The 12,698-nt window shown below is 36.5% G+C and overlaps 1 protein-coding gene across 2 annotated transcripts in view; it reads left to right on the forward strand.

The window, feature by feature from the left end:
- The window catches only part of RAB2A (RAB2A, member RAS oncogene family), a 106,735-nt gene extending 99,240 nt beyond the window's left edge, over nt 1-7,495 (forward strand). For both annotated transcript variants that reach the window (NM_001242644.1, NM_002865.3), the window contains 2 exons: nt 2,431-2,499; nt 4,525-7,495. In NM_001242644.1, coding sequence (NP_001229573.1) covers nt 2,431-2,499; nt 4,525-4,620 — 165 coding nt within the window. In that variant the 3' untranslated portion in view covers nt 4,621-7,495. The remainder of the gene's footprint in view (nt 1-2,430; nt 2,500-4,524) is intronic.
- Nucleotides 7,496-12,698: the final 5,203 nt, after the last annotated feature.

Here is a 12,698-nt window from a genome sequence, read left to right on the forward strand (position 1 = left end):
TTTAAAAGTGCTTAATAAAGTATTCAGTACTATTTAGGTAATAAAATTAGTAGTGACTTACTTAATTTTATGTAGCATCACTTTCTTAAGCCTGTTTTTAAAGTGATTTATTACCAGACGGGCAAAAAGGCAATTTTTATGCAAATTGACACATTTAATAATAACTTTTGTAGTATAAAAGTGCTTGTTTGTATGAAGTTATAACTCACTTATGGGGCCTTGTAGTTCTATGTAACATTCTAGTGAAATGTGCACATGTGGATGCTCTTGGAAGCACTTCCAGCCCTGTGAATTTATGTATCTGTTGACTTCAATATTAGGTAGCTTGATTTCTAAAGCCATCACAGTAATTGACATGTTATTGGAAATAAAGTTAAGTTTTTCCTTATTTATAGGGATAACCTCAATTTTGAAGAATGTGAATCAATTCATACTTGGCTGAAAGCCAGTTCCCTCTTCAGTTTAGCTCTAGCACATACATGAAAAGCGCACTCGCGTCCTAAGTGCCTTGTGAATCTGCAGTGATTAATTCTTCTCATTATTTTGCTGCAAATTCTCATGACCCTCTGTGATGATTCGATCAGCCACTTAGAGTTTATGCATATTCATATCTCTGTGCTCCTGCCGCAGACGTTCAGATCTCCTTCACTGACTGGTGTGTGCTTGGTGCAGTAATTGAGCTGCAGTAGATTGATTACTCTGGGGAGCTGTAAGGCCTTTAAAGGTGAAAACATATCAGTCCTGTTAATTAGGAAACAAAAGCTCTGATGGCAAGTTCAGCAGTCAAATGTTTCCAGTGTAGAAAAGATAAAAGGTATGATTTGTTCCTCTCCATGAATGCTGTTTACTTTTTAAACTTTAAATTAGGTCTGTATCAGTGGTAATGGAGTATAGCTTTCTTTTATGAATTTTTATAGAATGCTAATTGAAGAGGACTTTATTGATTGGTACTGTTATCTGTGATCTGTCAAATCTGATAGTTTAGAACCTATTCAGAGTTTGTATATGCCTTCTATAGCATTCGTAATATTTATATATAATTTCTAAATATTTTACATAGAGAATGCTTGTGTATAAATTTTGGTATTTATAGGCTTCATTTGGTCTACAGTATTTCAACAGTAGTTTTTTATTTTGACAATTTAATGGCAAAGAAGTTGAGCCGTCTTTTCTCTCTTTATCGTAAGCGTCCTTTGATTTTGCTTTCTTAAACTATATACTAAATAATACATTATCATGGCAAAAAAGGCCCTGAGTGGAACTGTATTATCCAGAAGTAAGCTAGTTTTTACATGGAGGATTATGCAGTTTACATAATTGAAATGTGTTTTTCTCTGTGTGCTGTTCTCATATTCCAATATTCTTTTTTCCTCTCATGGTCATGATGTTTTCTTTTGAGATATAATTCACATACCATAAAATTGATGCTTTTAAACTATACAATTCGTTAGCTGGGTGTGGCAGCACACACCTGTAGTCCCAGCTACTCAGGAGGCTGAAGTGAGAGGATCACTTGAACTGGGAGGCAGAGGTTGCAGTGAACCGAGATTGCGCCGCTGCACTCCATCCTAGGCGACAGGGTGAGCCCCTGTCTCAAAAATAAATAAATAAACAATTCAGTGGTTTTTAGTCTATTCACAAAGTTACACAACCATCACCACTATCTAATTCCAGAACATTTTAGTTACCCCAAAAAGAAACCTCATACTCATTAGCATTCTCTCCCCTTTTTCTCTTCCATCTAGCTTCTGGCAACCAGTAATCTACTTTCTGTCTCCATGGATTTGCCTATTCTAGACATTTCGTACAAATGGAGTTGTAGTATTGTGGCGTTTTGTGTCTGCCTTCTTTCATTTAGCACAGTGTTTTCAAGGTTCATCCACATTGTAGCATGAATCAGTACTTCATTCCTTTTTATGGCCAAATAATATTCTACTAATTGAATATCTCAAATTTTGTTTTTTATTGACTGAACATTTCTGTAGTTTGCACTTGTTGGCTGTTGTGAATAATGCTGTTTGTAATGCTAATTAGCATGTGCGTACATCCTTTGTTCTTAATCTTAGGGGAAAGGCTTTCAGCCTTCATCTTCGAATATGATGTTAGATGTAGTTTTTCTTAGATGCCATTCTTTAGATCAGGTTGAGGAGTTCCCTTCTATTTCGACTTGAGTGTTTTTATCATGAAATGTTGGATTTTGTCAAATGCTTTTTCTATGTCTATTGATGATCATGAGGGCTTGTTTATTAATATAATGTATTACATCGATTGTTCTTTATTAATATGTTATTAATATCTTTGTTCTTTATTAATATGTATTACGTCGATTGACTTTCATATGTTGAATGTTATGATATTCTATAGAGCATATATAATGTTATTTTACTGCTTTGGTTTTATATAATATGAACCAATTTCTCTATATTTCAGGCATTTATTAATACAGCAAAAGAAATTTATGAAAAAATTCAAGAAGGAGTCTTTGACATTAATAATGAGGTATATACATATAAATATTGTTGGTCAATATTAATTTAGAGTTCACTTTTGATTACTATTTTATATTTTTTATTTTATAATTCATTATTTTATAATTTTTTTAATTCCTAAAATCAATCATGATAATCAGTTAACACCATTAGTTTACAGTCATCCAACTGAAAAATTGGTATATGTGGTATAGTAGTTAAATATTTATGTTCTAGTAGAGCAACACTTTGTCTATGGAAATGGATTAAAGTAAGTGGCCCTATCCATTCATTGCAAGCAATGCAAAATAATATAAATCCCCCAAAGAGAAAAGAAAATCCACTTTTATCCACATGACCATATGGTGTCATCTGCTTTGGGAATAATGTTCTGGTATATAAATGCATGTACTATGTACTAATGCAAGATGCTCTCTCTGTTATCTGGCAGGAAAGAGGGAAATACCAAATTTGGAAATTACTCCCAATATAGCATAGCATGTTTTCAGGAGACTAAATTCATATATATATATATAAAATTGGCATTTGGCATAGGGTTTTTTGTAATGTTATTTTGATCCTGTTTTGGTCAACATGATTAGGATAAAATGTAAAGCTTTGAAGCATCTAATTCAGAGTGTTCACCAAAGATCATCACTTGACCCACATCCCCACTCTGCATTTATCTGTATTTATTTCAAAATGTTTATGTGGATGTAGCCTACTTATTCTTACATAAATATTTTTGCCATTCTGTATTAAGATTTCTGGCTTCTGAAAGAAAAGCCCTGGTTTCTCCCCAGTTGCAGTTAGAAAAGCATTGTGTTAGGAAGCCATTATGTATGTCTCTCTCATCCTATACATAAATGAGGCTCTCTATTACTTCAGTAGTCTCTGCTCAGACAAACAGCAGTTTACCTAAGGTTTCCAAAAAGTACATGATTTTTTCATTGTTTAATTTGGAGTAATATAGTTTCTAAATCCTATCTTCTAGGCTTATATGACGGTACTTCTTGAGTTAGTTTAAAGGTGACACCATTCAGAGACTAATGCCATATAAATTGAACAGTAATTGGGCCTCTATCTAAAAGGGCACATTCATTGTTTCTGTCTGGTTTCATATAGTAGCTGACTGCTTTACTGTGCCTTATGCAGCTTTGATTGTAATGTGCTGTTGGGAGCCAACAGGCCGTGCTATTTATTTGGCCTAATGCCAAGTCTGACTCCTTGACTCCTCAAGAAGTTGCTACCAGCCCAGAGGGGGCAAAATCAATGAGCCATAGGGCATGCTTTTTATTAAAGAGGAGTCAAAAGAGCGAAAAGAAACCACATCAGCTGCTGTCAATACTGAGCTAGTGCCAGAAACCCCAAGGCTACTACTGTTGCAGAACAACTGCCAAGCACTATAAATCTGAGATTTACTGTGACGTAAAGTTTCCTTAAGAGCTTAATTTCTGAAGCTACTGTATTACTTTTCTCAAAGTGTTGTATTTTTAGGTAAAATCCACTTGAGGGAGTGAGGGTTAAGACATAAGTGTGAGTTTGATGAATGAAAGAACTACTCTGTGTGTGGGTTCTTGGCAAGCTGCCATGTCTTTGGGGATCATAGAAATTATTGATGACACAGAACACTCATATGCCCTTAGCCTGTACAGCTGATTCAACATGGAACAGAAACACTGTCTAGAGAAAAGATTTTACGTTGTATTAAAGCAGCATGGGCTTTGGGTATTTTTATGCTTTAAAGATTACTTGCAATAATTATTTTAAATGATTTCTGCATTATGAGAATTTCCTGAAAAGCAGCATTATCCAATAACTGTTTACCCCGTACCTGGTATGATAAAGAATTATTTTCAGAAACATTTCCACAGTGTTTTTAAAAGGAAGGAACATCCCTTAGGAGATATTGTTTTAATTGTTGCTAAAATCTACTTGCTGTATTTTTCTCAGTTGTTTGATAAAATTGTATCATAAAGAATTAAATGAGTTTTTTAAGAATTAGTTAAACTATATTGTCTGGTCATATTTATTGTTCTGTTCTCTTTTATTTCAGGCAAATGGCATTAAAATTGGCCCTCAGCATGCTGCTACCAATGCAACACATGCAGGCAATCAGGGAGGACAGCAGGCTGGGGGCGGCTGCTGTTGAGTCTGTTTTTACTGTCTAGCTGCCCAACGGGGCCTACTCACTTATTCTTTCACCCCCTCTCCTCCTGCTCAGCTGAGACATGAAACTATTTGAAATGGCTTTATGTCACAGAAGACTTTAATCCGTCAAATTCTTGTATAACTTTGAATAAATGGTTAATGTTCACTTAAAAGACAGATTTTGGAGATTGTATTCATATCTATTTGCATTTGATTTCTAGGTCAATTGATGTGATTATTTTTGTTAAATGTTGTCTTGTGCCCTTAACTACGAACTGAATTGTATTAAACACTACAAAGTCATCTTGAGTATTTTAAATCGGTTTGTGTAGTTAGGTTTCCCAACATCTGTGGTTACCTAATGTTTAATATTATAGAACTGTCCTCAGAAACTTTGTCAATTTTCACGGCTATAAGGAAACAGAAGGACTCTTTTAATTCTGTATTTATCATTTACTTTCTGTATATATAGTTTAATAACCTGCTTGGGTGTAATTTGCCAAGCTTGAATTCTTTAATGCATTTGCATAAATTCTATACTGTTTAGAGCTTAAAGCTACAGAAGCATTGTTAGGAATTGCTTGGACACTGAATTTTAAACTTTTTGACATTGTTAACAAGCATGTTCATCTTTTCTTGTCACTAGTCCAAGAAAAATATGCTTAATGTATATTACAAAGGCTTTGTATATGTTAACCTGTTTTAATGCCAAAAGTTTGCTTTGTCCACAATTTCCTTAAGACCTCTTCAGAAAGGGATTTGTTTGCCTTAATGAATACTGTTGGGAAAAAACACAGTATAATGAGTGAAAAGGGCAGAAGCAAGAAATTTCTACATCTTAGCGACTCCAAGAAGAATGAGTATCCACATTTAGATGGCACATTATGAGGACTTTAATCTTTCCTTAAACACAATAATGTTTTCTTTTTTCTTTTATTCACATGATTTCTAAGTATATTTTTCATGCAGGACAGTTTTTCAACCTTGATGTACAGTGACTGTGTAAAATTTTTCTTTCAGTGGCAACCTCTATAATCTTTAAAATATGGTGAGCATCTTGTCTGTTTTGAAGGGGATATGACAATAAATCTATCAGATGGAAAATCCTGTTACAAAGTAGAAAAGCTTTAGTAATTTACTCAGTGTGGTGGTTTTATCCTTTTTTTCTTTTTCTCCCTTGGTCTATAATGAAATTGTTACAGCAGTGCAAAATAAAATCCTATGTATAAAAGTGTTCTTTTTTTTTATTATGACCACCTCTTTTTTAATGTATTTTTAGTCCACTTACAGCTTTTACATGGGTTTAAGCATGTTTTTTAAAAGGGTCAGAATGGTTAACACTCAACCCTTTTTAAAAATTTTGCTAAAATGCGACAAATCTCACCATACTGAAATTATTTTTGTTGATGGTGTAAGCAGTGTAAGCAAGTGTTTTCTCCTGAACTAGCACAAAAGCACTTATGCCTGAAAGAAAGCATAAAGAAGTTCTAACTCTGAAACTAACTACTTTCATTTCGCTCATGGCCTTCAACTTTCTACAGGTCTTCCCTGAAGATTCAGCAGTACTCTCTCAAAGGTTTGACAGTACTCTTGTGGGAAATCACCAAATGCTGTCATAGTTTTGTTTTAACTGTCTCCTTGAGGGCAGAGGGAAGGGTGAGAGAAAATCTGTTTTCATGGGTATTTGTAGTACAGCCTTTTTTTCTTTCAAGTGGCTGTATCAAATTCACTGGTCTTACTAATCACTGTCTTTACCAGTGAGTACAAAAAGTTAAGGCAACTAGGACAGGTACTGCTCTATACCAAGAAGAGAATGATTCTTTGGAAATTGTTATTTTTAAGCTTCTGTTAATTTTTCCAGAAGTTTAGTGCGTTTCTTTTCCATACTTTCTCCCCTAATTCTTTTATTTGAAGAAGAGAACTTAATGGCAAATAAACAACAAACCAGGACATGCATTTTAATACCCTAAGGAAAAATGGAACCCTCAAATATAACTCCTCCCACAACCACCCTAATGTGCCTCAGTCTGGGGCAGCAGGTGGACTTCTCAATAGTTCTTTTCCACATTCTCTACAAATCACATCTACCGTTAAGGAATATGTTATGAATCCTTTCTGTTAATTGAGAAAGCAATGTTATTGTCTGTGATTTCCAGTCTTTGCTCATTTTATTATCCCTGTCAAATAATGTAATATTGGTACCTGCAGTTGAATTTGTAATATTGTAATTGAATTTTTAGTTGATCTTCGATCAGTTTTTATAGCATCTATGGACATAGAAAATCAGTCACTGAAAAAAATAAACACAGCTTTCAATGTCTCACTCAACATGTAACATTCAAAATTGTGATCTTCATAAAGACATTGTTACCATTCGTCTTGCAAATTTAAGACAACTGAATGAAAAGCCAATTTTTTGAAAGAATGTGGCATATAATTAGATATACAACTGAAACAGGATATACAACTGCATACAATTTGTTTTTAATGATATTTTAAAATAGCCTGTTAGCAGGAAAATAGTCCCTATTTATCTGCTAATGGTCAAAAAGAGTTAGGATATAAATCGTACCAAAATGTTTCCAATCACTCAGAAAAACTGATTCATGTCTGGCTTTGCAACACCTTAAACATTTATTCTGTCATAGATAGTAAAGCCCCATCTCAGTTTATTTAGTCCTGAGGTTGGCAGCATGGGGTTTGACTATATGAGCTAAAAGATACACAAAGAGATAACGCTGTTTCATAATAAACAGGAATTGACTATACAAATAGGTAAACCAGCATATCTACCTGTATTTCTCAGAGTTTAGATGTGTGCTTTATGTTTACATTAAAATAAAGCCTAACGCCACAGTAGATCATCTCATACTGCATTCGGATGTACTAGGTATTATTATTTTTTGGTTGAAGTCACGACAGAGAACTTCATTTTATTTATTTTGTTTATTTTGGGAGACAGGTCTCACTCTAATCCCCCAGGCTGGAGTGCAGTGGCGCCGTCTTGGCTCACTGTGACCTCCACCTCCCCAGGTTCAAGTGATTCTCATGCCTCAGCCTCCCAAGTAGCTGGGATTAGAGGTCCCTGCCACCACGCCCGGCTACTTTGTATTTTTAGTAGAGACGGGGTTTTGCCATGTTGGCCAGGCTGGTCTCAGACTCCTGACCTTAGGTCATCTGCCCACCTCAGCCTCCCAAAGTGCTGGGGTTACAGGTGTGAGCCACCATGCCTGGCCAAAAACTAAGTGCCAGTCTATATATTAGTATTAATTAGTTTTACAAAATTATGAGGCCAATTCTTAAACATTGAAGGACAAAGCACCAAACTCCTGATAGAAAAATGGAGGAAAATGAGCAATTTACAAAAAACATACAAAGTGTCCCTAAAATGCATTTTTAATTCAAATGTGAGTGATGGATACATTAATTTGCTTCACTCTAGTAACCTTCTATTTATGTGTATCCCATAACAGGTATACTTTTAAACACAATAAAATTTATTTTTAAAAATTCAAACAAATGCAAATTAAAGCTCAGATGCCATTTCTCACCTATGAGACTGGAAGAAATGTAAAATACAACGCCACATTGTATTGGTGAGGCACCTTTGTGTGGTGTTGGTAGAAGTGCAAACTGGAACTACCTTTCTGGAGGGGAACTTGGCAATACCTAATAAAATTACATGTACACTTGCTGTTGGCCCAGAAATCCCACTTGTAGGAATCCGCCCAAATGATAATTCTCCAATAAAGCAAAAGCTCCATATGCACAAGGTTACTTTCTGCAGCATTGGTTGTAATTAGAAATTATTGGAAATGACTTATATGTCATTTCCACTTATAGTGATTCAATAAACTATAGTGATTCACTAAACTGTGTCCATCCACACAGTGGAGTCCTACACAGCTATAAAGAAGGGTGAGGAAGAAGATCTCCAGAATACACCAGAAACTAGTTACAAACACTGGGTGGGTACAGGATGGAAAGTAAGAAGACTGGGAATAGGATAGTTGGGACAAGAGGAGAATGTTGCTGCTTTCAGTATACATTTTTTGTATAGCTCTGACTCAACTATGGTTATGTTTCACATAACCCAAACATAATTAAAGTCAACCATGAAAGTGTGGGAACTCAGTGAAATACAAACTATTAATGAACTTATTATTACAAATGAGTAACACCACACTGAAGGGGATAGGGAAGAAAACCAACATATATAACTTTGGAAAATAGTATTATCACTGTATACTGTAAGACTGAAGACAAAATGATCACAAAGGCTGTAGCTAGTAAAGGGGATGGGTTAGCAATGCAAAGCTACCTTTCACATACACTAAGACTGAGCAAATAAGTAAATACGTTGTGGATAATGAGAGCAAAAGTTCCTCATCAAAAATGCATTGCAAATAAGTTGAGAAAGGCTAGAGTGAACCTTGTGGTGGTAGGTTGGAATTGAGGAGATTATGAACTCATGGATTTTGTATGTACAGATGCACTGTGAGTAAACATGTTTTTCATCTTTGCTGAGAGGGCCCAGCAGCAATGAGCATACCTACTGCCCATTACTGGTTTCTAAATAGCATTCTCTAATAAAGGGAACTAGGGTTCATTAGAAAAATGATTGATTTCCTGAGTTGGGGCAGGGAAATTAGAAAATGAGCCTGGAATATCCTGTGATACCAGAGGAAAGTAAGGAATTGTTCGTAAAATGATGGGGCAGAGGGGAGTCAGGCCAAAGGACACTAACAAGCATTCTAGTAATGGATCGTAAACCGGGGAGTGAGATAAATATCCATGAGTTTATATTAATATGAATGATTAAGTAGATGGGAAAGATGCAGCTCTTCCTTACATTAGCGACCAGTTAGTAAAGATAAAAGGGATGATGTAAACAGAAAATCTACAACATAGTCATTGTTAAAGGCAGGAATCAATACTAAAATTCATGGGCAAAAGCCTGAGAAAGGCTATGTGTACAATCTGAGTATCTCCTCACGAGATATTGCAAAAGAAGAAATACAACAGTGGAGAGATCTGGCAGACACCATGGCTTATCAAGTGATCAGGAAGATGTGAGGATGCCACATACTTCCCAATAGGATGCACTGAGAAAAACACTATTCCATGGCATTGGGAAAAATGGGTCACCTCAACCCAGTCATGAGGAAACCTCTAACCCAAATTTAGCAACATTCTACAAAGTAGCCAACACTTCACAACTGGACATCATGAAAGTTAAAGAAAGAATGAGGAACTGTCAGAGACTAGAGGAGATAGGGAGCCATGGCAACTAAATGCAGTGTGGGATGCTGGACCCAGGAAAGGGCATTAGTGGGGAAACCGGTGAAATAGGAATAGGGTCTGCCGATTAGTTAGCAGCATTTTGATCAGTGTTAATTTCCTGGTTCTGATCATTGTTCCTATGGTTATGTATGAGGCTAATGTTGGCCAGGTGCAGTGGGTCACACCTGTAATCCCAGCACTTTGGGAGGCTGAGGCTGGCAGATCGCGAGGTCAAGAGATTGAGACCATCCTAGCCAACATGGTTGAAACCCTGTCTCTACTAAAAATACAAAAATTAGCTGGGTGTGGTGGCATGCGCCTGTAGTCCCAGCTATTTGGGAGGCTGAGGCAGGATAATTGCTTGAACCCAGGAGGCAGAAGTTGCAATGAGCCAAGATTGTGCCACTACTGCACTCCAGCCTGGCGACAGAGTGAGACTCCATCTAAAAACAAAAAAGCTAATATTAGGGGGAGGTGGGTGACAAGTATATGGAAACTGCTTTTAAGACTTTTCTGTAGGTCTAAGATTATTTAGAATAAGTTAAAAAATCATGAGGCCTACGAAATTCAGTGTAGACCAACAAGATTGCAGTGGCCTTATTTTTCCTTCTACTAATGCTGATTTCTTGCCTCACACAATTGTCCCTGTCTCCAAATATTGCCGTCAAAATTAGCTAAAAGAATACACTCTCAAAGCAAATATTCTTTTCAAATTATTTGTCAAAAGTACTAGAACCAAAATACCTGCCCTCCTTGAGCTGGTAAGCCAACATTTATTCTCATGGATAAGACATATGAAGTCTCTGAGGAATTGTATTAATGCCCCATTTTAAGAGTACAGTGCAGATTGAAAATATTTCTTAAAAACTGGATGCTTGTGTCTGTACTGAACATGTAAGATATTTTTCTTGTCACTATTCCCTAAACAATACGGTGTAACAGCTGTCTACATACCAAGTGCATTGTGTTAGGTATAAGTAATCTAGAGGTGATTTAAAGTATACAGCAGGATGTGGGTAGGTTGTATGCAAATACCACTTTATATCAGGGACTTGATATCCATGGAGTTTGGTCTCCTCAAGCATCCTGTAACAATCCTCCAGCACATACCAAGGAACAACTGGCTATTAGTAATAAGAATCTCACAGATTTATTTTATCCAGTGTATTCATTTTCTATTGCTGCTGTTATAAATTATAAGTGTGACTTAAAACAACACAAATGTATTCTATTACAGTCCTAGAGGTCAGAATTCTCACTAAAATCAAGGTGGTGGCAGGGCTGTATTACTTTCTGGAGATTCTAGGGTATAATCCATTTTCTTGCCTTTCCCAGCTTTTGAAGGTGGTCCACACTCTGTGGCTTGCAGCTTCTTCCTCCATCTTTAAACTATAGAATGGCCACTTGAGTTCTTTTTACATCACATGAAGTCACTCTGACCAGTCTCTTCACCCTCCCTCCTTCCCCACCCAGATAATCTAGGATAATCTCATCTCAGTGTTGGCTGATAAGCAAGCATAATTCTTTCTACAACCTTATTTATTTATCCAGCTAACAGTCTTACTAGAGTTTCTACAACTTTACTTCTCCCTTGCCAAGTAAAATATTTACAATTTCCTGAACACGGACATCTTTGGGAGCCATTAATGCATGTTTAAAGCTCACAATGAAGCTGGGTGTGGTGGCTCATGCATGTAATCCCAGCACTTTGAGAGGCGGAGGTGGGAGGATTGCTTGAGCCTAGGAGTTTGAGAACAGCCTGGGCAACACAGGGAGACCCCATCTCTGCAAACAAAAAATTAGCCCGTGTGGTGGTGTGCACTTGTGGTCCCAGCTACTCAGGAGGCTGAGATGGGAGGATTGCTTGAGCCTGGGAGGTTGAGGCTGCAGTGAGCCGTGATCACAGCATTGCACTCCAGCCTTGGTGACAGAACAAGACACCATCTCAATAATTTAAAAACATGTTTATATATTTTTTAAATATATATAATTTTTTAAAAGCTCACAGTGAAAGAGTTATAATCCATGGGTTGGCAAAATGTGAAAGTCTGACATCAAATGTTTGGATGTTGGCAAGGTTGTAAAGCAAAAGAAATGCTCATATATACTACTGGAAGGAGAGCAAATGGGTGCAACCACTTTGGAAAACAGCCTGCAATCCCTTCTCTCAGAACATGCCCTAGAGAAATTCATCCACGGGTGCACCAGGATCCTTCTGCCAGAATATTCAGTTTCATATGTAATAGCCCCTGGGAACAACCTTGATGTGCATCAAGAGAAGGGTTGAACCATGGTATATTCATATAGTGGGATAACATACAGCAATGAAGATGAGTTGAACTGCAGCCATTTAGCAACATGGATGATATTTTTAAATTAACCCTTATTTTACTTAAATGAATGAATTTTGCTGGTGAAAAAAATATACAGAAAAGAATACATATAGCATCATTTCATTAACTCTAAAGTTAAGCAAGGAAATTATTATCACAAAAGTCAGGATATTGGTTACCTCTAGCAGGATAGGAGGGGCACAGGGAGATTCTCTGGGACTAGCAATGTTCTGTTTCACGACCTGAATGAGACTTACATAGATATTTGCTTTATATGTCTATAAACTATGCCTCTGTGTTTTATGCACTTCCCTATAAATAAGATTTTGTGTCCATTCAACAAACAAAAATGCTGCCTTATAAGTTGCCCTCAAAACTAAAAAGCATGAAGTTTGCAGTGCCCCTTGTTATGGGTTGCATTGTGTCTACCCTAAAAAGATAGGTTGAAATCCTGACTTGGCTC

Source organism: Homo sapiens, chromosome 8 (assembly GCF_000001405.40).
Source record: "Homo sapiens chromosome 8, GRCh38.p14 Primary Assembly".
In the NCBI taxonomy this organism is placed as follows: domain Eukaryota; kingdom Metazoa; phylum Chordata; class Mammalia; order Primates; family Hominidae; genus Homo; species Homo sapiens.